Genomic DNA, 26,786 nt, shown 5'->3' on the forward strand with positions numbered 1-26,786 from the left:
TGAATTAACACAGGAACAGAAAACCAAATACCTCATGTCCTCTCTTATAAGTGGGAGCTAAACATTGGGTAGTCATGAACACAAATATATGAACAATAGACACTACTAGGGACTACTGGGGGAGAGGTCGGAAGTGGGGTGCAGGGTGAAAAACTACCTATCGGGTACTATGCTCATTACCTGGGTGACGGGATCATTTGTGCACCAAACCTCAGCGACACGCAATTTACCCATGTAACAAATCTGCATGCGTACCCCTTGAACCTAAAATGAAAGTTTACAGCAAAATTAAAAGAATAAGAATAACTTGGTGCAGATTACCAAAGTATTGCAGAGGAACAAGAAGGCTGCAATATTCCTCAGGACTTTTCTCTTGGCGTTGCCCTGTAAGAAACGAGGAAGGTGGACTGGGCTTGGGTTCCCTCCCCAGCTGCTCTCCTCGTGCTTCTCCTCCTTGTCACAGCTTTCTCTCAGGCACACATTTCCATTGGCTGCTGGTGGCATGTCCCTGCCCCAGGGAGCCACGTCTCCGGCCACACCTCCACTCTTGAGGCAGGAGGAAGCAAGGGGCATGGTGTTGCCATTGCAGACTGTGACCATCCGAAGGGTTTGGATGTCCTCAGAGAGTTTTTTAGGCTCTCGGTGAATGGATTCAAAGATGAAGAGGTTCTGGATGTACTTCTCCACGATCACCACGATGGAGTAGGGCAGGTTGTACCAGGTGTAGTGGGGGTGGTCCTCGGCACAAAGGATGGCCAAGATTGAGCCCCAGGAGATAAGCCAGGAGCCTGAGGCAGTGCCCACCAAGAGGTCCGAGTCCAGTTTGCGGGGCGGATTTTTGGACTCATCCAGTGACTTCTCATCTGTCCTGTAAATCCGGATTCCAGCCAGCCCCGCAGCCCCCATAAGCTTCATCAGGGTGATGACATACAGGTAGAACGTGATGAGTGCTGACTTGCTCTTGGTCTTGGAGCACCCAATATGAATCAGGTACACCACCCACCACCACGGCAATGGTGGCGGCCAGCGCGGTCAGGCCCAGGACTGTGCCCACTGTGACCCCATCAGGCTTGAACTGCATCTTCTGGTGCTGATGGCTGTCAACTTTGCGCCCGATGTTCTTCCATAGGACGTAGAGCACTGTGGAGGCCAGGATCTGATACTCTATGTTGAAGGGGTAGAGGTAGTAGATATAGTAGATCCCGTGGGAGATGGTGGTGCAGAGAGTTGGGGGCGTGCAGTTACATTGCGGTGTGTGGTCATCTAAAACTAGGGGAGACAGGTTGATCACACAGGGGGGCTATTAGCAGGTGCAAGGGGAAGCAGAAAAGCACAGAAAACTGTTTCCACTGTGGATTCAGGCTTGGGTCTTCCCACTGGATTACAAGCTTTTTCATGTCATGGCTTATTATCACGTTTAATATCATGGCTAATTTGATAGCCCTGAGTATCCCCAAAGCATATTCATTACCTAAATCACATTTATTTGGTGAGTTGCCAAAGAGGATAGAGAAGATGACTCTATTGTTGTAAAAAATAGATATGTAGATGATAGATAGATAGATGGATACACACACACACAGACAGATGGAAAAAACCTGGAAGGACACAAACTAAAATGTCAACAATTGTTATCTCTGGGTGGAAAAATGACAGATGATTTTTAATCTCTTCTAGATTTTGCTTCCCTGTATTTTCTAAATTTTCTCTGTGAAGATGATTTACATGTGTGATTTTTTAAGATTATTTTTAAAAAATACTTTCTGGAGAAAATACCCCTTTTAATTAGCAAAAGATATGCCTCTTAAGACTCCAGTGCTAGCAAGCATGCAGGAGACAGGTGCTCTCCGATATCAGTGCGGGGAAAGTAAACGGGCACCACCTTCTGGAAGAGAAGCTGGCTGTCATATGGAGGGCCCTCTCATCACAGGAAGGCAGATGCTGCAAGTAAATGACGAAACAGGTCACCAAAGCCCTGAAGGCGATGCAGTCTCTGACCCATAATTCCATTCTTTCCATTCTACCCTTCTACTCAAAGGGACAAATAAAAAAATGTAATCAAAGAGTCAGGTAAGGCCAGGAGTGGTGACTCAGCCCTGTAATCCCAGCACTTTGGGAGGCCAAGGCAGGTGGATCACTTGAGGTCGGGAGTTCGAGACCAGCCTGGCCAACATGGCGAAACCTCATCTCTATTAAAACTACAAAAATTAGCCAGGTGTGGTGGCAAGCCTGTAATACCAGCTACTGGGGAGGCTGAGGCAGAAGAATCGCTTGAACCTGGGAGGCAGAAGTTGCAGTCAGCTGAGATCGCACCACTGCACTCCGGCCTAGGTGACAGAGCGAGACTCAGTCTCAAAAAATAATTTAAAAAAAAGTCAGGTAAAATTGTGTGTGTGTGTGTGTGTGTGTGTGTGTGTGTGTGTGTGTGAGAGAGAGAGAGAGAGAGAGAGGAACAGCTCAAGGTCCAACAACTTAGAAATTGTTAAGTAAATTTTAGTATATCCCAACAATGAGATAGTAGACAGCCACTGCACGTTATAATTAAGATGTGCTTTATGGTTTTGGGTATGGGGGGGGTTGTTTTGTTTTTTGTTTGTTTTGAGACAGAGCCTCCTTCTGTTGCCCAGGCTGGAGTGCTGTGGCACAATCTTGGCTCACTGCAACATCAGCCTTCTGTGCTCAAGCATCCTCCTACTTCAGCCTGCTGAGTAGCTGGGACCACAGGCCCATGCCACCACTCCCGGCTAATTTTTATATTTTTTGTAGAGACAACGTTCCGCCATGTTGGCTAGGCTGGTCTTGAACTCCTGAGCTCATGCGATCTGCCCGCCTCAGCCTCCCGAAGTTCTGGGATTAAAGGCATGAGCCACTGCACCCAGCCAGGATGTGTTTTAATATTAAGAAAGTAATCTCGTTTCAAGGAAAATGGAAAAAAGTAAGAACAAACTGTATATTTCTTTAATGCAAGTCACAACCCAGTACAAGGCTGTAAAATCAGGTAGCAACCAACTTTTTTGTAGCAGAAATAATTTTCAGTGGACTAGAATAGGATAGAATGGAGTGGAATCAACTCCGATAAAATTTGGAAGCATCTCTGATACAGTAAAATTAAGTATTATTTCATCAAGCATACACACATAAGTATGTGCGTGTTTGGATTACAGTGTAAAATCTGTCTCTTATTGAAGTTTGCAATAAAAAAAGATCAAATATATAGTATAAAATCAACTATAAATAAATGGCACACTACAAAAAAATAACCAAACATTCACAGCATTTACTGCATTTCTGGGTAAGTGTTGTGGATTTTTTTGCTTCACACTTTGTCATTGTTTTAGTTTATGATATGTATATATTACTTATAAAATCTGAGAAAAGCAGCTGGGCGTGGTGGCTCATGCCTGTAATCCCAGCACTTTGGAGGGCCGAGGCAGGTAGATCACAAGGTCAGGAGATTGAGACCATCCTGGCTAACACGGTGAAACCCTGTCTCTACTAAAAATACAAAAAATTAGCCAGGCGTGGTGGTGGGCGCCTGTAGTCCCAGCTACTCAGGAGGCTGAGGCAGGAGAATAGTGTGACCCCCGGGAGGCAGAGCTTGCAATGATCCGAGACCATGCCACTGCACTCCAGCCTGGGCGACAAGCAAGACTCCGTCTAAAAAAAAAAAATCTGAGAAAAACTATATCGTAGCATTAATTTTACTTTCACAGAACACTATGAAATTTTCTTTTTCTTTTTTTATTCTTTTTTATATAGGGTCTCCCTCTGTTGCCCAGGCTGGAGTGCAGTGGCACAAACACAGCTCACTGCAGCCTTGACTTCCTGGGCTCAAGTGATCCTCCTGCGTCAGTCTCCCATGTAGCTATAGCTGGGACCACGAGCCCATGCCACCATGCCTGGCTTTTTTTTTTTTTTTTTTCCAGAGCTGGGGTCTCCCTTTGTTGCCCAGGCTGGTCTCAAATTCCTAGGCTAAAGCAATGCTCCTGCCTTAGGATTACAAAGTGCTCAGATTACAGGTGTGAGTCACTGCCCCAGTAATAATCTTCAATTCACACAGGGCTTCCCTAGCACTTACAATTCAATACGGTGTTATGCAGAAGACAAGGGAAGAAATCAGGAGGAAAAGTTCAGAGTAACAGAATGTTACAGCTGACAGAGTCCTTTTTTAGAAAATTAATCCAACCTCATCTTTCACAGAGGGCCTTGAAGCCAGATTGTTAGGATTCAAATCATGGCTGTATCACATGTTCACTGTGTTACCCTGGGCTAACTTCTCCGTGGCTTGATGCCTTCATCCATATAATGAGGTTAATATTGTCTACCTGAGGCCAGGCGCAGTGGCTCACGCCTGTAATCCCAACAGTTTGGGAGGCCAAGGCTGGCGGATCACAAGGCCAGGAGTTCGAGACCAGCCTGGCCAACATAGTGAAACCCCGTCTCTATTAAAAATACAAAAATTAGCCAGGTATGGTGGCATGCACCTGTAGTCCCAGCTACTCAGGAAGCTGAGGCAGGAGAATCACTTGAACATGGGAGGCAGAGGTTGCAGTGAGCCGAGATCACGCTACTGTACTCCAGCTTAGGCGACAGAGTGAGACTCTGTCTCAAAACAAACAACTATATATATATATATATATATATATATATATATATATATATATATATATACATACACACACACATACACACATATATAGCCTACCAGAGAGTGTGGGGGTACAAATTAAATGACATGTGTAAATTTCCAACAACAGTGGCTGGCACTCAGCAAATGCTTAATAAAAATTTACTTTTGTTATTGTGGTCATTGCTGCTACTAATATTGATACCAAGGAGGACATGAGGCCCAAACACCGAGTGCCTGCTGGTTGGGGGTGGTGACTTCGTTGTCTCCACCCCACTGATGACAAAACAGGTTCAAAGTGGCTCTCCAGGACAGCTTGGGTTCACACAGCTGTCACAGACTTGCTGCATGTTAAAGCTGGAAGGGATCTTTGCAAGTGCGTGATTTGGATACCCTCACTTTACAAATGAGAAAAGGGAGGCTCAGAGAGATTAAATGTCTTCTAAAGATCACACAGCTTGTACATGATGGGAACAAACCTGAGACACCCAGTTCCCTGCCCCACATTCCCCTCAGCCTGAATGTTCTCATATAGAAGTGACATATTGTAAATGCTAAAGGATTTTAGATGAAAATATAAAGATTAACCCAACAGGCTCTCAAATAGGAACAAGGTAGAACAGACATGAGCTAGAATTATAAGCCAACTACAGTTAAATTAAAACTTTAAATGAACCACAGCCTATTAACCACAACCTACCATTAGACTTTTATGAATTTTTAAAAGCCATACTTTTACTAGAAAGAACTGGTAGTAGAGGTTTAATTAAAAACACAAGCAGAGGCAACCATCAATCTTCTGTAGTTGAAAACAAAGACATTTATTTCTGCGGCAAACTGGACCATGAGAAATGGCCATCAGAATGATCACCGTGGGTCTTACAAGTCCCTGAGTCATGGAAGAAACCTTTAATTATGCTCAGTACACATCACTTATGAGAGATTCAGGTTTTGGAAGATTTTCAACAACAGGGGGCTGTCTGGCTGATGCTGACTTTGGTGGGCCTGAAGTTCTTTGGAACCTGCACTCCATCTCTGAACACTGTGGACTCTGCAGGTTTCCAAGACATTCCAACATGGCAGAGGGGCCACTCACCTCTCTCAGCACTCACCTGTTGTTATGTTCCCAAAGCCCAGAGTGATGAGCCATTCCTTGTGCTCATTGGTGCTTTGACTCATTGAGGACGCCGTTGGCCCACAGAAGCAGGTTGGTGAACACCAAGTGGATCACCCCAAACCTGAAAAACACAAGGACTCAGTTCTCAAGCAGCCCTGGGAGAGCCTCAGGCACCATAGGGTGAGACAGACATGTGCACACAAATACACGGCTCCTTCTCAGCCATGATTCTGGCTACATCATGGATGACCCTTGAGAACGTTATGCTGTGAGAAATAAGCCAGACACAAGAAGACCAATACTGTATGGTTCAATTCATACGAGGCATCTAGAATATTCAAACTCATAAAGACAGAAAGTAGAACAGAGTTTGCCAAAAGCCAGAGGAGGAGGAAATAGAGAGTTGTGTAGTGGGCTCAGAGTTTCAGTTTTGCAAGATGAAAAACGTTTGCAGATTGGTTGTACAACAAGTGAATGTACTTAACATTAATGAACCATACGCTTAAAATGACTAAGATGGTAAATGTTATGTGATTGTCAACCTGAAAAAAAAAGACACTAGAGAAAATTATCACTAAATATGTTGGATTTACTTGGAAATAGGAATTACAGTCCAGAATGCATGGAATGGCAAGCCACCAGCGCATTCGGTGAGGGAAGGGTAAGGAGGAGCTGTTATTAGCAAAGAGAGATTTACATAATCCACAGAGAAAAAGAGTTCATCGGTTCTAGAGGCTCAAAGCCAGAGTTGTCATCAGTTCATTGGTGGAGATGCCAGTGCTGGACAAGTGTTCTTCCAAGAGCATCTTATCTGCTTTACTGCAGTCCTAAAGAATGTCTAGTAATGTCCAACCTCTTCAAAGCAGGAGATGCATGAAGGGTTTTTAGAAAGTCTTTGGAAACACTTTGTATCTCAGACACGTAGACAGAAGTGCCCTCTCCTTAGCGCCTTCCCAGGCCTATTTTGCCTGGGTCTGACAAAAGCGATTTCATCCTGATATCTACAGGTTTTTCAGTATTTGCCACAATTTTAAAATAAATGCTCTGTTTTTTAGAACAGCGCCTAATTGTTATATATACTTTTTTCCATTCGCCAGTCATCTAATGTAGCAAAAGCACATGGTAAGTGTCCAACAGGTATAGAATGATTAATTCATTGACTTGCCTGGCCAATAAAATGCCTTAAATTAGAAAGCTAGGATCTCCAACCCACCAACTAAGAGGGATATTTTGAAAATTCATATCTGTCCCAGTCATTCTTCTGCCTAAAGCCTTCAGTGGCTCCCCACTGCCCTCGAGGTGAAGCCCAAGCCCCTAGGTGGCGGTCAGCCTTGACCAAGAATTTGCTGCACACCTAGCCCTGTGCCAAGTGCTTTTCATACACATGTGCCTTTAATCTCTACAACGAGCCCATGAAGTAGGTACTGTGATTGTCCTCAGCTTGCAAGTAAGACCCATGAGGCCCAGAGAAGTTAAGTAATTTGCCTGAAGTCACACAGCTGTGGTCAGAGCCAGAGTCATGCAATCTGACCAGAGTGCAAGCTTACAAGCCCTACACCAAACAGGGATCCAGCCTGTGCCCACACATCCTCCCGCTACCCCACTGTGAGGAAAGACTGCATGTCCCAAAGACACCCTCTTCCAGTGGCCTCTGACCCACTAACCCTGTGCTCCTCCCTCTCTCACAAACGGTTCTGGGACCTTCCCTGGCAGAAATTGACTGTCACTCCAAGCTGCCAAAATGCCCTCCTTTGTGCTCCCTCATTGCTCTGGGACACTCTGGTCAAAGCACTGAGCCCAGCGTTGTCACTGTTTTGGGGACTGCCTCTCACCTAACTGACACCCCCATGGTGTGTGACACAGACTTTACAGCCTTGTATTCCCCATGCTGAGAACAATGTTCGTCCAGTATTTAAAGATGAACTACAAGAAAAATGAATGAACGAATGCAGTTCGTTCTGGCCTCACGAAAGCTTTCCACATTGTCACTGTATCACTATAAGGCTCTGTCTTCACGGGATTTGGCTCCCCTGGAATGAGCAGCCAGTTATCTTTGATCAGCTTGGGCTGCCATAACAAAGGACCACAGATCATCAACTTCAATAACAGGAATTTCTCTTCTCAGGGTCCTGGGGTTAGAAATCCAAGATCAAGGTATGGGCAGGGTTGGTTCCTTTTGAGGCCTCTCTCTTTGGCTTGTAGATGGTCAATTTCCTCCAGTGTCTTTACATGGCTGTCTCTCTGTGTGTGTCTGTGTCCTTCTCTCCTCTTGTTATAAAGACACCAGGGCCAGGCGCGGTGCCTCACGCCTGTAATCCCAATACTTTGGGAGGCCGAGGCAGGTGGATTGCCTGAGGTCAGGAGTTCGAGACCAGCCTGGCCAACATGGTGAAACCTCATCTCTACTAAAAATACAAAAGTTAGCTGGGCATGGTGGCAGGTGCCTGTAACCCGAGCTACTTGGGAGACTGAGGCAGGAGAATTGCTTGAACCCAGGAGACGGAAGTTGCAGTGAGCCGAGATTATGCCATTGCACTGCAGCCTGGGCAACAAGCAAAATTCCGTCTCAAAAACATAAAAAATAAAGACACTAGGCATATTGAATTTGGGCCAGCCTAATGATCTTATTTAACCTCAATCTCCTCTAAACGACCCTATCTCCAAATACAGTCACATGCTCAGGTACTGAGAATGAGGGTTTCGGCATATGAATTTCACAGGGGATATGACTCAGTTCATAACAGCTTTCAAGTGCAAGGCAGCCCCTCCAAATGAGCCCCTCAGCAAGCTCCCCAGTGATCCCACCATGCCACCATGGAGCTAAACTGTTTCCAGGCTCACTGGGCACGTTCTGTCTGTTAGCTTCACTGTTTGAGAATGTGTTTGATCTAGAGAAACACTCTAAGGTCATCCAGTGCTGTCTGGTAAGTCAGCTGGGGGTACAAGCTGACGGTCACTTTGGATAAAAGATGAAGTTTTAAACATGTCATCCCTGGTTTTCTAGAGGTAGAAAACTTTCCAAAGAACCTTCTCAAACTGGAAATCCAAAAATATTTCCAGCAATGGCAGTATCACCAGAACAAGTTCATGGTCTTCCAGGGTGACTTGTCAGGAAGAAAATAATCATTGTGTCTCCACAGTGACTTTGAGCAAGTCACTTGTCTTCTCTGAGCTCCAACTTCTTCGTTAGAAAAAAATGAGAGCAGAGCCTGCCATTTGCAACAACATGGGCAAATCTGGAGGACATTGTGCTCAGTGAAATGAGGCAGACACAGAAAGAAAAATACTGCATAATCTCACTTATATGTAGTATCTAGAAAAACGTTTTTAATCCAATGCATAAAAACAGATGGTAGAAGCTGGGCATGGTGATGTGGGCCTGTAGTCCTAGCTACTAGGGAGACTGAGGCGGGAGGATCACTTGAGCTGAATTCAAGGCTGCAGTAATCCGTGATGGCACCACTGCACTCTACCCTGGGCAACAGAGCAAGACCCTGTCTCTAAAATTGAATTAAATTAATAAATAAAAACAAAATAACATAAAGAGTAGAATGGTAGTTGGAGGGGAAAAATTAGAAGATTTTGGTCAAAGGGTACAAAGTTGCAAATACGTAAGATGAATAATTCTAGAGATGTAATGGACAACGTGAAGACTGTAGTTAATACTATTGTATTGTATACTGGAAATTTGCTAAGAGAATAGATTTTAGGTGCTCTTACCACATCCAAAAAAAGAAAGGCAACTATGTGAGATGACAGACATAAATATGCTTGACTGTAGTAATCACTTCACTATGGATAGGAATATCAAATAATCATGTTGTATACCTTAAACATATACAACAAAAAACAAAAAAAAATGAGACTGACAATTCAACAATTCAGATCCTGACTCTGATAACATTACCACGGATTTCTGCCAAGGGCGAACACTACCCTGAAAGCCCATCTAACATTCTTTTCAACCATGAGATTTTTCTGACCCTAAGCTATGTATTTAAATTATATTTATCAAATCCTTCCTTCTGAGCCATACCAAGTTTACCAATGCTGTGGGAAAAAATCCTTATACATTTCTAAGACTTTAATCCCCAAACGAGAAAACAAAAGCGCTTCCATGACCCAGAGGAGGCATTGCAATGGCACAAGGTTTCTATGTAAGAAGAATATTAAATTTTTTTAAAAAATAAAATTGATTTTGGCAATGGTTGCATAACTCTATGAACAGACTAAACCGTTGAATTCCACATGTTAAATGGGTGAATTATATGCCATGTGAATTCTCTCAATAAACCTGTTACATACCCAGAAAATAAAACTCCCTCAAGCTTTTACTGTAGACCCTGGCTTGGCAGAATTTCCTGACTCTTCATCATTAGAAGTTCTGCCTCATAGGATCCCTGCAAAAATGGCCATGGGGACACAGAGTTTTATTTTGCAATGGAGGCAGCTGAAGAATTAAGCCTCAAAGATAGACTTCAGTTCACCTCAGTTCATTGCAGTTCACAGCTGTGCACACTGTCTCCACTTGCCACATGTCTTGATGTTACAAGTTTCTACACAACCTGGGATACACTTCACAGGAATGAGACAACATGAATAAACATCAGTGGTTTACCTGCAACAAAGTATGCACTGAATGGGTGACAGGGAAAACTCCTTCAGTGGCTGATAAACATTCTGAAAATCCAATGAAGTATCTAATTTTAAGGCATCCCAGGATGATGGTAATGACTGCAAACAATGTGATACTACCTAAATGTGGGATAAAGGGGGAAGTGGAAACACACACATTCCATTAATATACATTGATGTCATTTCAAAATAAATTATATTACATATTAAACCCTTATGTATATGGTCAAATGATTTTTTCACAAGGGTGCTGAGACCATTCAATGGGAAAAGGGCAGTCTTTTCAACAAATGTGGGAAAACTGGATGTCCACATGCAAACGAATGAATTTGAACCCTCACCTTACAGCATATACAAAAATTAACTCAAAACAGATAAAAGATCTAAACATAAAAGTATAAACCTTGTAAAAGAAGACATGGGAGAAAGCTTCATGACATTGGCTTTGGCAATAATTTCTTGGCTAGGACACCAAAAATGCAAGCAACAAAAATTAAAATAAATAAGATGAACTACATGAAAATGAAAAATTTTTGCACATCACAGGATGCTACCAACGAAGTGGAAAGACAGCCCACAGAACCGGAGAAAACATTAGCAAATTATATACCTAATAAGTCATTAATATCCACAATATACAGATTTGTTTACATTAAATACCTCATATAATGAAATCGTACAGTACTGTCCTTTGGTGGTTGAGTTTATTTTACTTAGCATAATGTCCTTATGGCTCATCCATACTGTATCGTGTGTCAGAATTTCCTTCCTTTTTAAGCCGAATAATATTTTGTTGTATGTCTATACCTCACTGTGTTTATCCATCTATCTGTTGATGGATGCTGGGTCGCTTCCACCTTTTGGATACTGAAAATAATGCTGCTATGAGAGAATTTATAGAGAATTCTTATACATTGACAGCAATGGGCTGGGCACAGTGGCTCGCACCTGTAATCCCAGCACTTTGGGAGGCCGAGGAGGGTGAATAACTTGAGGTCAGAAGTTGGAGACCAGTCCGGCCAACGTGGTGAAACCTGTCTCTACTAATAATACAAAAATTAGCCTGGTATGGTGGTGCATGCCTATATTCCCAGCTACTTGGGATGCTGAGGCAGGAGAATCCCTTGAACCAGGGAGGCAGAGGTTGCAGTGAGCCGAGATCATGCCATGGCACTCCTGGGCAACAAGAGCGAAACTCTGTCTCCAAAAATCGATCAATCAACAATGACAAAAGCCAATTTAAAAATTGGCAAAGGACTTGAATAAACATATCTCCAAAGAAGACATAAAGATGGCCAGCAAGTACATGAAAAGATGTTCACCATCACTAATTATTAGAGAGATGCAAATCAAAACTACAAAATACTTTCACACTATCAGGATGGCTACTATCAAAAAAAAAAAAAAAGAAAATAATAGAAAATAACCAGCATTGGTGAGGATATAGAGAAATAGTGCTCTGTTGGTAGGAATGTAAATTGGTACAGCTACTACTGAAAACAGTAGGGAGGGCCTTCAAAAAATTGAAAATACCATTATGGCATGATCTGGCATTTTCACTTCTGAGTATATACCCAAAAGAATTGAAAGCAGGGACCCGAGGGGATATCTGTATTCTCCTGTTCATAGCAGCATTATTTTCAGTATCCAAAAGGTGGAAGCAACCCAGCATCCATCAACAGATGGATGGATAAACACAATGAGGTATAGACATACAACAGAATATTATTCAGCTTAAAAAGGAAGGAAATTCTGACACACGATACAGTATGGATGAGCCATGAGGACATTATGCTAAGTAAAATAAACTCAACCACCAAAGGACAATACTGTAGGATTTCATTATATGAGGTATCAAACGTAAGCAAATTCATAGACAGAAATAGAATGGTGGTTGCCAGGTGCTAGAGGGAGGGAAGAATGAAGAGTTAGTGTTTAATGAGGACAGAGTTTCAGTTTTGCGAGATGAAAAAGTTCTGGAGGTTGGTTGCACAACAGTGCATATGTGCTTAACACCACTGAGCTGTGCACTTGAAAACTGCTAAGTTGGTAAATTTTATGTATATAAATGCATGTTTTACCATAATTAAAAATATATTAATAAAATAAATTCTAGCCCAGGCATGGTGGCTCATGCCTGTAATTCCAGCACTTTGGGAGGCCAAGGCGGGAGGATCACTTGAGGCCAAGAGCCTAAGCAACCCCATCTCTACCCAAAGATAACATAATAATTATTTCTAAATAAATAAACAAATTCTACTGTTGAGCTGCGAAGGTAAAACTAGAAGGCAGGTGTTGTGTCCCGTTCATCATTGTACCCACCCCATAGCCCAGAGTCTGACAAATGATACACAATCAACGAAGCCTGGTCCAGTCAACAGAATGCTCCCAGAAGCTTTTTCAAAAAGGAGAAATCTAAGAATGTCACTGCTCTACTCAAAAATCTCAGTTCTCTAATCCTAAAATCCTGTTCTCTAAAGAATAAGAGTGCAGCTGGCTGGGTGCAGTGGCTCACATCTGTAATCCCAGCACTTTGGAAGGCCGAGGTGGGTGGATCACCTGAGGTTGGGAGTTCGAGACCAGCCTGACCAACATGGAGAAACCCCATCTCTACTAAAAAATACAAAAGTAGCGGGTGTGGTGGTGCATGCCTGTAATCCTGCTACACCGGAGGCTGAGGCAGGAGAATCACTTGAACCCGGGAGGTGGAGGTTGCAGTGAGCCGAGATTGCATGATTGCATTCCAGCCAGGGCAACAAGAGTGAAACTCTGTCTCAAAATATATATATATTAATAAGAAATAATAAGAAATAAGAGTGCAGAGTGTGCAGGTCATACAGGTATACAGGAATTCTCTGAACTGTCTTTGCAACTTTTCCATAAATCTAAAGCTTTTCTAAAATGGAAAGTTTATTTATTTATTTATTTGAGACAGGGTCTTGTTCTGTCACCCAGGCTGGAGTGCAGTGGCACGATCTTGGCTCACTGCAACCTCCACCTCCCAGGTTCAAGTGATCTTGTGCCTCAACCTCAATCCCAAGTACCTGGGATTACAGGTGTGCTGGCCAGGCTGGTCTTAAACTCCTGGCCTCAAGTGCTCCGCCTGTCTCAGCCTCCCAAAGTGCTGGGATTACAGGCATGAGTCACTGAGCCCGGCTGAAAGTATATTAGAAAAAAAAAATAGATGGGTAAGGGCTCTATAGTAGTAGCTGAGGAAGGGCCTGTGCTAGGTGTACTGAGGAAAGGAAGCAATCTTTGATAGTATAATGAGCATGGCTTTGCCCAAAACATAAAGACAAACTAATAAAAAATTTGCATATAAAAAAGACTGGAAAGGAATGTACAAAATACATTAAAAAGACACTTGGTGACAAATGAAGAAATTAGTGAGAAAAAGGCAATGATCATGAGTGCTTGATCAAGTCAGAGTTCCTCATCTCCCTCCTGGGCTAGCAATGACTGCCATTTACACATTTGCTCCTGCCAACAGGAGGAAACTGGATCATGTATGACATGCATTAAGGCACTGAGCAGAGAGGAGGGCATGAGCCATAACATTGGGCTATAACGTTACAGCCCCAGCCTGAGAAGCCTCCTCTGAAAAGTAATGCAATCGCCTGGCACTTTTCCACTGCTCAAAGCCTTATAGAAACAACTCTAACTCACATTTTTAATCCTGGAAACACCCCAATGAAATCGGAAACGTTGTAAGAGTGGAGATTCAATCCCAGTGCTTTGAAATGTTTTGACAAATACGTGGTTGGTTTTAATTACAAAAAACATAGCAAGATCAGGTGAGGCAGCGTGGTTGAGTGGCAAGAGTACAGGCCTGAAAGTACGGAGACCTGGACACTCACAGAATACATGAGTCACTTCCTGCTCCCAACCTCAGGATTCCCATACAGAAAATGCGGATGGTCTACAGCAGTGGTTCTCAAACTGGAAACTGCATCAGAATCACCTGCAGGGCTTGTTAAAACACAAATTCCTGGGCTCCACCTCCAGAGTTTCTGATTTAGTAGGTCTGGGTGGTGCCCCAAAATTTTCATCTCTAACAAGTTTTCAAGTGGGGCTGCCACTGTTGATCTAGGCCCCGCTTTGAAAACTACTGGTCTAGACCATCTCTGTGGTTGACATGCCAAGTGTTCAATAATATACTCTTTCAGTCCTCCCTTTCTTCCTGTGTTCATCCATTCATCCATGGATTCATTCAGCCAGTTGTTTATACAACAAACACCTTGGGGACTCCTACTATGCATGAGACATTGTGCCAAGGGCTCAAAGACAGACATAGGAGATTGCTGTAGAAACAAAAATATACGAGTATAATATTGCATAAATTAGGGTGTGCACAAAATATCAGAGAGATGAGCTGGCAACAGACTTCCTCTGTGCAGCCTGGGAAACCAGAAGACAGTGGACATATGTGCCACAAGGAAAGGACTGCACCTCAAAAACCTTATTCTCAGCTAAGATGTCGCCCATGTGTCAGGGCAAAAGGCAGAATGATGTTTGAAGTATACAAAATGTAATTTTTTCAACAGCTATTTATTGAGCAGCAACCATGGGCCAGGCATTGTCCCAGGCACTGAAGATATAAAGGTCAATAAAATAGAGTATCTGCCCTTGAGGAGTTTCACATCTAGTGGGGAAGGCAAAAAATAAACCGGTAAATAGTAAACACATAAAGAATGTCAGGAAGTGCTAAGTGCATGAAGAAAAGTAAAGCAGAAAAGGGGACTGAGGTTGAAGGTACATGGGCAGGAAAGGAGGTGATTGTTGAACAGAGAACAGAGAAAACTGTCATCCACATAACTTGTCTGACAAAGGACTTTAACCAAGGAGCTTGTGAACTGGAAGAGAGTCCCCAAAAGAGGGGAAGATGAGGAGGAGAGCAAATTATAGTGACCAATCAACTCTGTGGAAGGCTAGAGGAGGGTGGAGGTATAATGGATGGAGAGACAGATGGAGATAGATAATTAGATTAATAGGAGAGAAAAGAAGAACTTAAATTCAAATGGATAAACTGCCTGAGATGTGTAATTTACATACCCTATAAAGACTTGTCATACAGAATAGACATTTTGAGGCGAAATTCTATTAACTATCTCTACAAAACCCATAAGTTCGGCCAAGCACAGTGGCTCACACCTGTAATCCCAGCGCTTTGGGAGGCCGAGGCAGATGGATCACCTTTGGTCAGGAGTTCGAGATGAGCCTGGCCAACATGCTGAAACCCCGTCTTTACTAAAAATACAAAAATTAGTCTGGCGTGGTGGCAAGCATCTGTAGTCCCAGCTACTTGGGAGGCTGGGGCAGGAGAATGGTGTGAACCCAAGAGGCAGAGGTTGCAGTCAACTGAGATTGCACCATTGCACTCCAGCATGGGTGACAGAGCGAGACTCCATCTGAAACAAAACAACACAAAACAAAACAAAACAACAACAACAACAACAAAAAACCTAAGTTGGAAAAGGACTGGATAGGGAACAAAGAAAAACCTTTGAAAGCCCTCAAGGTAAATAAATGGAAAAGAAGGAGAGGGAAGAAGGGAAAGGAATAGGGAGGCAAACGTATCCTAAAGATCTCATCCCATTAGGTAGAGAGGAAGTGGGAGCAGTGAACATCTTGGAGTGGGACACAGTGTGGCTTGCTGAGGGAAATGTTCAATATTTTGTTTTCAAATAAGAATGAAGTAATAGGCAGCTGGGCGCGGTGTCTCACACCTATAATCCCAGCACTTTGGGAGGCCAAGATGGGCGGAACACTTAAGGTCAGGAGTTCAAGACCAGCCAGGCCATGATGGTGAAACCCTGTCTCTACCAAAAACACAAGAAATTAGCCCAGTGTGGTGATGGGCACCTGTAGTCCCAGCTACTTAGGAGGCTGAGGCAGGAGAATCGCTTGAACCTGGGAGGCGGAGGTTGCAGTGAGCCGAGATCATGCCACTGCGCTCCAGCCTGGGCAACAAAGTGAGACTCTGGCTCAAAAAAAAAGAATGAAGTAATATGCATCAGATTATGAGAGTGAGGGAAGAAAAAAATGGCCATGAATGGAATAAAAAATCAGAATAAATTTTCAAATGCTCAAAAAAGACAAATGTGGAAGAGGAAAAGGAAGAAATAGGAATGTAAAATATATCATCATAAACATCGAAAAGAAAAATGGAAACAAAAAAGTCAACTACATAAATTATTTCTATAAATTAGAATGATCTAAATCCTCCCACTAAGTAGTCAGCAAGAATAGGAAAATTGAATTAAAAACAAAACCTAGTTACATGATCTTTACACAAATTGCACCTTTAACAAAGTAATAAAGGTTTAAAATAAAGTAGTGGACAAAGAGGAATCAGGCAATGCAAACAAAAAGAAAGTTGGAATGGCAATATTAATATCAGACCATACGGGATTTAATGTATTAAGTAGGATAAAGAATCCTTCCTCTTTTATCACTACATATAATAAAAGACAGACTGTCCAGTGTGGTGGCTCACGCCTGTAATCCCAGCACTTTGGGAGGCCGAGGTGGGCGAATCACAAGGTCAGGAGATCGAGACCATCCTGGCTAACATGATGAAACCCCGTCTCTACCAAAAATACAAAAAATTAGCCGGGCGTGGTGGGGGGTGCCTGTAGTCCCAGCTACTTGGTAGGCTGAAGCAGGAGAATGGCATGAATCCAGGAGGCAGAGCTCGCAGTGAGCCAAGATCGCGCCACTGCACTCCAGCCTGGGCGACAGAGCGAGACTCTGTCCCAAAAAAAAACAAAAAACAAAAAACACAACGACTGTATGAGGAAGCTATAACAGCCACACATGTGCCCAAATGAAACAGATTTTGATTTATATAAACACATATATATGTATAAATATATATATACAAGTATATATATACACATATACATAGATAAGTATATATACACATATACATATATATTTATGCATGTATAAATATATATACATATATAATTTTGCAATTACTTAACTTACCTTTGCCTCAGTTTCCCCATCTCTAAGATGTAATGACAGTAATAACACTTATCTCATAGGGGTGCTGAGGAGATTAAGTGAGTCTTTACATGGAAGTCACCTAGAACAGTGTTCCTTACCTAGAAAGTTCTATAAGCGGGATGTTATTATCATCACTCAATCGCCAAGAAAATGTTGATGCATTAGAACCAATTAGAAAGTTTACCAGCTACAATACTTGAGAATAATCCAAAGACTACATAGGGTACCCATCTAGTGATGGCAGAGGGAACCCCCTCCTCTTTGTTAGGCACCCAAATCCCTCCTAGGAGTCTAGAATCTTGAACCCCCCTCTTAGAGGCGGAAAGTCCCACAGAGTTAGTCTGCATTCTATCCCATGCAAGAATGCTTTCCAATGCATCATGACCGGAAGCCATCTGATCTCTACTTGGACAAGCCCAGGGCTGGGAGGCTCAACATCTCTCAAAGCGCACCCTTCCATCACCAGCTGGTACTTACTTTGTGTTTTATTTTTATTTTATTTTAATTTATTTTATTTTATTTTATTGAGATGGAGTCTCACTCTGTTGTTCAGGCTGGAGTGCAGTGGCATGATCTTGGCTCACTGCAAACTCTGCCTCCTGGTTTCAAGCAATTCTCCTGCCTCAGCCTCCCGAGTAGCTGGGATTACAGGCACTCCACATAGCGAGACCCCTGTCTCTACAAAAATCAATTTTTAAAAAATGAGCCAGGCGTGGTAGCACACACCTGTAGTCCCAGCTATTTGGGAGGCTGAGGCGGGAGGAGCACTTGAGCCCCAGAGTTCGAGGCTGTAGTGAGCTATTATCACACCACTTCATTCCAGCCTGGGAGACATAGGGAGACCCTGTCCTTATTAAAAGATAAAAATAAAATAAAGAAAGAAAGAAGATTGTGCAGGTGTTGCCTCCTCCCTGAACCTCGCAGCCTTCCTGCAGACTTGGGCTCCTCCCAGGCCCCTGGTGGTAGCCCTGCTCAAGGGTGCTGTGCTGCTTACTCTGTCCCCACCCCCAAGCTCCTAGAAGTTGAGGGCTAAGTCTCACAGGTCACGCTCCCCAACTTCCCAGTGAGGGCTCATTAGCTGTTTGTTTATTGCTGTTTCTCTACCTGAACATCAGCTCCACCTGAGCAGAGCCTTTCATAGCTGAAACCCCAGCACCTAGAACAGAGATCAGCAAATGATTCATAATTTGCTGTGTCCCACCATGCCCAGCTTTTTGTATTTTTAGTGGAGACGGGGTTTCACCATGTTGGCCAGGCTGGTCTCAAACTCCTGACCTCAGGTGATCTGCCCACCTCAGCCTCCCAAAGTGCTGGGATTACAGGCGTGAGCCACCACGCATGGCCTGGTGCTTACTTCAGAATGTTTTTCTTTATATTGAAGTGCAGTTGACTTCCCAGAACTATCATCTTCTTCCCTGGAGCTTCTATCATCATTCACTTATTCATCCACCCATCTAGTCATCCATCCATCCACCCAATCATTCAATCATCCAATTATTCAGTAGCTAGGAATTGGCATTTACTACATGTTAGGCACTGTGCCAGGAGCTCGGGATACAATGGTAAGCACATTCAGACAGGGTCTCTGCCTTTAGGGGCTCAGTCTGGCTACCCCAACAGTCACTGAATAATACAATATCCTGCTTGATTAGTGCTAGAAAGAAAATGAAGAGTGCTATGAGACCATACAACATGGGGGCTTCCCCTGGTCTGAAACTATCGGGAGAGGCTTCCCAGAGGAAATGACTCTTACTTGCTGAAAGACAGAGGATGGCCTGGAGCTGACAGGTGCAAGGCAGCAGCACTTTCTACCCTGTGACCTCCGCATCCTTCTCTCTTCTGGACTGAACCTCCTTTTGCTCCTCCTGCCGCCACTCTTTCCAAGGGCCTGTGAAATGCTCAAGGAGGATGAGACCCTCCACACACAGTCTGATTTCCTTTCCAATGAAAGCCAAGCCTGCATCTGATTTTTTGGCAGCCACATTCGCTCGTTTGTGTTGAAATCGTGACACTATGTCTATATTTTCCATTGGACCAGAAATATCATCTAAGAAAAGAAATAAGTAAGAAAATGCATGCAGTTAAGCAAGACCCTCATAGTGGCCCCAGAATGGATCTTGAGGATCACTGGTCTTTTTCCTGAGGGACTTGCCCTCTGCCTATTGATCTAAGATTGTCACCAACACCAGGGCAGAGCTGAGTTCCCGGGTCAAACCTGTCTTTCCAGCTAGAATTCCAGAGGAAACCCCAGTCCCTGTTGGGGCTGAAGGTGCTTCCTTTTGGCGTCGGGGCCTCTCGACACTAATAATTAGCGTCTTGCTTCTTTGAGGAACCCACAGGAATGGCCAGGGCTTTGCAAACTGCTTCTCTCAACATCCCCCAGCTCCTCCCAGAGAGTCGACTGGGATTCTTATCTTACTGATGAGGAAAGCAGAACTCAGAAAGGTGAAGGTGACAGAGCTGAGACCTCAAGCCAAGCCCTCCAGAGCCAACACCATTTCCATGATACACACACCTCACTTGAATTACATTATTATGGGGCAACTCACTGAATGTCTAAAGAGCTACCACCTACTGAACACCTATCACGTGCTCTCTCTACCTTGCCCATTTATTCCCTCTCTACTTAGTGTCCCAAAGACACCTCAAATGTAGCATGTCCATAAGAGAACTGTAACATGTCATTGGTTTTGTGTCCCCACCCTGCTCTTCCCTTTGGCTTCCCAATCTTGGGAAATGGTGCAACCATTCACCCATAGACTCAGGCGCCAATGCTCGGAGTCAACCTGAAAGGAGGCAGAGAGAGAGGAAGAACAAAAAAACACAGATGGATGGATGGACAGATGGATGGATGGATGGAAGGATAGATGGATGGATGGATGATGAATAAGTGTGGATGGGTGGATGGATGCATGGTGGATAAATAAGTGAATGATGATAGAAGCTCCAGGGAAGAGGATGATGGTTCTGGGAAGTTAACTGCACTTCAATATAAAGAAGAGCATTCCTTGGATAAGGATAGACTGAGTAGAAAAAAGAAGAAAGAGGAAGAAGAAGAAGAAGAAGAAGAAGAAGAAGAAGAAGAAGAAGAAGAAGGAGGAGGAGGAGGGGGAAGGGGAGGGTGGGAAGGGGGAAGGGAGGGGGAGGGAGAGGGGGAGAAGGAGAGGAGAAGGAGAAGGAGGCACATTCTAAATGCACCAGGCTGGGCGTGGTGTCTCATGCCTGTAATCCCAGCACTTTGGGAGGCAAAGGCAGGCAGATAACCTGAGCTCAGGAGTTTGAGACCAACTGGGCCAACATGGTGAAACACTGTCTCTACTAAAAAATACAAAAATTAGCCAGGTGTGGTGGCATGTGCACCTGTAGTCCCAGCTAATCAGGAGGCTGAGGCAGGAGAATCACTTGAACCCAGGAAATGGAGGTTGCAGTGACCCATGATCTAGCCACTGCACTCCAGCCTTGGCAACAGAGTGAGATTCCATCTCAAAAACAAAAACAAAAACAGCAGAGGAGAGAGGAAGAGAGGAAGGAAGAGAAAGAGAGGAGAGAGGGAAGAGGGATAGTGGAGGGAAGGCTAGAGGAAGGAAGAGAGGAAGGAAGAATGAAGGAGGAGAAGAGAGAAAGAAAATGAGGAAAAAAATAAGGAAAGGGAGGCTGGGCATGGTGACTCACACTGGTAATCCCATCACTTTGGGAGGCTGAGGCAGGCAGATCACGAGGTCAGGAGTTCGAGACCAGCCTGGCCAACATGATGAAACCCCGTCTCTACTAAAAATACAAAAAATAGCTGGGCATGGTTGCAAGCGCCTATAATCCCAGCTACTTGGGAGGCTGAGTCAGGAGAATCGTTTGAACCCGGGAGGCGGAGGTTGCAGTGAGCCGAGATCGCACCATTGCACTCCAGCCTGGGTGACAGGGCAAGACTCCATCTCAAAAAAAAGATAAAAAGGAAGAAAAGGGAGAGAAAAGGGAAGGGGAGGGAATAGGGAGGGAGGGAAGAGGAAGAAAGGAAAGGAGAAAGAGGGAAGGAAGAAGGGAGAAAAAAGGATGGAGGAGAAAAAGAAGTGAGGAACAAACAAGGGGGCTTTGACTGTAGGAAAACACAGGTAAAGGCTCATGTGTATAATACTTTTTAGCCTGTGTAAGTCAATATCCTAAAATAACACTTTGTGCCTTGTTTTAAATAGCACCAGATTCACTGTCATTCACAGAGTCACAAAACCATTAACTTCCCTAAAACAACCAATTTCAGAACAGGAATTTGGGCCACCCTGCAATGGTGTCAAATTTCCCCAAAAGCAAGATGAACTAGATCCAGTCCCTGAGCCTAAGAAGTCTAAAATCTCTTCTGGATGATAAGGCTAATATTCAACAGTCATAATACAAGGCAGAAACAGACAAGGACCAAAAGAGCTTTACAGAAGGAGGGCCATGGTGGCCCATGGAAGTGAGGAGTAATTCCTGCCAGGCATTTGTGAAGAAGGTGGCATCTGGCCAGGACCTTTGAAAGAAGTGCAGAAAGGAGGCCTAGTGTGTGCTGGGCAGCCACCTCATCAATCACTGGATCCTATCCAGTGTGAGATCCCCATTCTACAGATGCCGACACCAGGGTTCAGGGTAAGGAAGGCAATCAAGCAACTTGCCCGAGGTCATGCATGCAAGGAACACGGAAGCCCCACTCTAATGGAGATTTAAATTCAGGTCTAATATGAGAATCCAAGTGGCAATGTGTGATGTGTCTGGACCACGTGGTGTGAAATGCAGTCGGCTTCTCCTGGGAAGGTTACTCAGACAGAAGCTTTCTTCACAAGCATGCTCCCCACGGCCTCCTCCCTTTCACCTGCACCATGTCTGTCTCCCATTCAAGACTGGCAACCCCAGCCAGGCACAGTGGCTCATGCCTGTGATCCTATCATTTTGGGAGGCCAAGGCAGGAGGATCCCTTGAGGCCAGGAGTTTGAGAACAGGAGACAACACAACGAGGCTCTATCTGTACAAAATATAACAAAACTTAGCCAGGCAAGGCCATGTGTACCTATAGTTCCAGCTATTCAGGAGGCTGAAGTGGGAGGATTGCTTGAGACCAGGAGGAAGAGGCTGTAGTGAGCTGTGACTGTGCCACTGCACTCCAGCCTGGGAGATAGAGCAACATTGTCTCAAAAAAAAAAAAAAAAAAAAAAAAAAAAAAAAAAAAAAAAGATGTGGCAGCCCCTTGAGAAAGGAAGAGCTCCTATCTTGACGATTTCAGCCAATGCCCGTGAGTACCAGCAGGAGCCTCTATCCCTCTCTGCCCCACCCTGCATCCACGCATTCATTACATCATTCATCCCCCCTCATTTTCTCAACACCCACTTGTGCCAGGCCCTGAGGTGGCTCTAGGACCGAGAGACAGGGATCACAGAGCTCCCCAGTGGAGTGGAGGGTACAGACATGTCGACAAGAACACTGGAACCCAGTGCGGGCTGGGAGCGTGCGGTCAGACCTGCAAAGCGGGGAAGAGAAGGGGGTCGGAGAAGCTTCGCGGGGAGAATGGGGTGAGGCCTGAGGCCTGTCTCGGAAAGCAGAGGGGCAGGTGGGAGAGTGGAAAAGACATTCCTGGAGGAGGGAACCAAAGGTGCTGAATGTGCAGAGGCAGAGATCCTGCGACAGGAGAGAAAGTCCTCGAGAATGACCCCAGCATAGGATGAGAACAAAGAAGGGGATCAAAGGAAACGGGCCCTCGGTGGCCGGGTGCTAGAAGGCTCTGAGTGTCAGGAGAGGGAGCGTGACCTCCCTCATGGGGTCAGTAGGGCCACTGTATGGCTTTAAGCCAGGGAAGGACAGGAGAGGTTTCTGTAACTGTGGCTGTAATGATGGAAGCGTCTGGAGGCGGAGAGGAGGCTCCTGCGACGACCCAGGCTTCAGAGAGAGAGAGAGAGAGGAAAGAAGGAAGGGCAGATAGGAAAGCTAGGAAAGATGCACAGAGAGACCAAGGCAGAAAAGGCTGAAGGGAAGACGGCAGTGGTAGGAAGGGGGCAGAGCCGTCTCAGGATGCAGCCAGCGGGCGAGGAGGCAGAGACCCGCTTGCCCGGTGCCTGGACTCACCAGCCGGTGCAGCCAGCCGGCGCCGGCGTGCGTGTCCTTGAGGCGGAAGAGGCGGCGGTTCGCGGAGCTGCGGCCCACGTACCACAGCATCTGCAGCAGCATGAGCGCCGTCAGGAAGCACAGCAGGTCGCTCTTGCTCACGCCCGCGGCGTGCACGGCCCAGGCCAGCAGCAGCAGCAGCCCCGCCACGAACACGATCAGCCCATACTGGCTGCTCAGCATCTCGGCCAGCCTCTGTGGGACGCTGGCGCGCACACCGCCCCTCCGGGGGGCCGGGGACTCCGGGCACCTCGGGGCCGACGGCGAGGGAGGCGGGCAGGCCGCGGGCCCCGATGACCTCGCGACTGAGGCGCTCGCAGCTGCCCGGGGCCAGGCGGGCGACCCCAGGCCCTCAAGCATCTTCAAGACACCCGCGCCAAGTCTGGCCCCGGGGGTGGCTGCCGTCGGGCCCCGCCTGCGCTCCTGGCTCCTGTCCTTGCCCCGACGCCTCTGCCAACCAGCACCCCCCTTTTCAACTCCCCTCCGATTCCTACCCCACGCCCCCAACAACCTGCCCCGTCTCCTGTCACTTCCCGACGCCCGCCCTCCCCTCTTCTGCCCCTTCGTCCTCAGTCAAGGTACCACCCTGTCCACTTACCCAGCGCCCCACCCCGCTGACCCGGGATTCTACGAGCTCCCTTGCCCACTGCCCCTCACTGGGCAACGCCCGGGGCAGCCATCTGTCCCCTCCGGGACCCACGCGGACCGCTCCCGGCTCCTGATCCCTGGGACACTGGCCAGCCCTGCCCCGACACTAGCGCGTCCTCCCGCACCTCCGCCCGCGCGCCCGGCCCCCGCCCACCGTCTGCAGCCCTCACTCCTGCGCCGACGCCCACCCACCCAGCCCCTGTCCCGGCGCCTCAGAAACGCTGGGTGACGAGAGATGCCTCCCAGAGTCCCGGGGTTGCGGGGCTGGGGAGAGGGGGTCTTCCAGAGCCAGCCCGAAGTGGGGTGTGCGCGGGGGGCGTGGCTGCTGCCAAGTGGGGCGCACGGGGCTCCACAGGGGCGTGCTATGCTCCGGGCCTTCCCCGAGGGTCTCCGTTGGGGAACCCAGAGGTCCAGGTGATCCTGCCTGGGTCCGTGTCCGAGCGTCCGATGGTCTGTCCTTGTCCCTGCGTATTTCTGTATTGTCTTCTCTGTGCCGGTCACTCTGTGTCTGGCCGTCTGTTTTCGGGTGTGTCTGGTTAGGGGTGGAGGAGCGCCAGTCACTGGCTCTCTGAATTGGGGGAGGGGCCGCCTTCTGTGGGTTTTTCTGTTTGTCCATCTGGTGTGCCTGTGTGTCGGCTGCGAGACGCCCAGGCGCAGAATAAGACCTGAGCCACTTTCTAAGAAAAGAGACCATCCCGCACCCTCCCCCAAAGGAGCGGCAGCCATTCTGGACGCAGAGGAGCTGGAATGAGGGAGGCCCCAGGGTCTGCCCTGGGGCAACCGGCGCCCAAGCATCTCCACCAGCCCCTTCCAAAGCCCCGGTGCCTGCCTTGCACCTGCCTGCTCCCGGAAGGAGACTGCGTCTGCCAGGGCGCCCTGCTCGGGTGCCATTAAGTGGAGGTCTGGGAAGTTTCTGCAGAAGAGCGTTCTACCGGTCGGGCGTGGCTGACAGGAGGCGGTGGACCCCAGCCCCCCAGCTGCAGGTTGGAGAGGGGAGTTGGGAGCGAGCCTGGGGCGAGCCCCCATCCCACCATGCAGCAGCCCGGGGCTGGGCCCCGGAAGACACCCTCTCCCTCTTGGTTTAAGGCTCTTGCAGTCTTGAAATTCTTAATTTTTGAACAAGAGGGCCCAGGTTTTTGTTTTGCGCTAAGCGCAGCAAATTGCAATAGCAGGTCCTGACTAGTAAAGGAGGGGTGGGGAGTCCTGGGCCGGCAAGAAGTCAACCTGGGGGACCTTGCCTTGCCGCCATCATTCTTCCAATTCATGCATTCATTCATTTGATCAACACACATGTATGTGTTGACCTATGAATCATTTGCTGGTCTCTGTTGTAGGCGCTGGGGTTTCAGCTATGAAAGGCTCTGTTCAGGTGGAGCTGATGTTCAGGTAGAGAAACAGCAATAAACAAACAGCTAATGAGCCTTGACTGGGAAGCTGGGGAGCGTGACCTGTGAGACTTAGCCCTCAACTTCTAAGAGCTTGGGGGTGGGGACAGAGTAAGCAGCACAGCACCCTTGAGCAGGGCTACCACCAGGGGCCTGGGAGGAGCCCAGGTCTGCAGGAAGGCTGCGAGGTTCAGGGAGGAGGCAACACCTGCACAGTCTTCTTTCTTTCTTTATTTTATTTTTATCTTTTAATAAGGACAGGGCCTCCCTATGTCTCCCAGGCTGGAATGAAGTGGTGTGATAATAGCTCACTACAGCCTCGAACTCTGGGGCTCAAGTGCTCCTCCCACCTCAGCCTCCCAAATAGCTGGGACTACAGGTGTGTGCTACCACGCCTGGCTCAGTTTTTTAAAATTGTTTTTTGTAGAGACAGGGGTCTCGCTGTGTTTCTCAGGTTGATCTCAAACTCCTGGGCTCAAGCCATCCTCCTACCTCAGCCTCCCAAAGCACTGGGATTACAGGCTCCAGCTACCACGTCCAGCCTCCTGCACATTCTTTAGGCTTAGGAGTGGATGGCCAGGTGGAAGGGAGCAGGGGTCTGGAAAGGCAGTCCAGAGAGAGGATCCAGCAAACCTACTGGGAATCCTCCACCTTCTCCCCTCCTCTTCCTACCAACAGCCAGAGCAACCTGGGAGGCTGAGCTGAAGATGGAAGAGCCTGTCTGCGTGTCTCCCCAGTGACTAGTGAGGTGGCTTTTCCTCCCGAAGCTGGACCTTACATCAGTGAGAAATAAACTTCCATTGTGCTAAGCCACCAAAGTCTGAAATGTTACAGCAGCTAGCAGTACCTTAACCCATTGAGTACAAAGATAAATAACACTCAGTCACTATCTGAAAATCAAGTGGAATGCCTGTCTCTGGGCTACCTGCACTTTTGTTTGTTTGTTTGTTTGTTTGTTTGTTTGTTTGTTTGTTTGTTTTTGAGATGCAGTCTCACTCTGTTACCCAGGCTGGAGTGCAGTGGCACAATCATCTCAGCTCACTGTAACCTCTGCCTCCTGAGTTCAAGCGATTCTCCTGCCTCAGCCTCCCGAGTAGCTGGGATTACAGGCGCCTGCCACCATGCCCGGCTAATTTCTGTATTTTTAGTAGAGATGTGGTTTCACCATGTTGGTTAGGCTGGTCTCAACTCCTGACCTGGTGATCCACCCCTTGGCCTCCCAAAGTGCTGGGATTACAGG

General features: G+C 46.4%; 1 pseudogene; it reads right to left on the reverse strand.

Annotated features, from left to right (window-relative positions):
* The window catches only part of LOC100996737 (proton channel OTOP1-like), a 34,019-nt pseudogene extending 9,242 nt beyond the window's left edge, over positions 1–24,777 (reverse strand).
* Positions 24,778–26,786: the final 2,009 nt, after the last annotated feature.

The sequence above is a fragment of the Homo sapiens genome, chromosome 1 (genome assembly GCF_000001405.40).
Source record: "Homo sapiens chromosome 1, GRCh38.p14 Primary Assembly".
In the NCBI taxonomy this organism is placed as follows: Eukaryota; Metazoa; Chordata; class Mammalia; order Primates; family Hominidae; genus Homo; species Homo sapiens.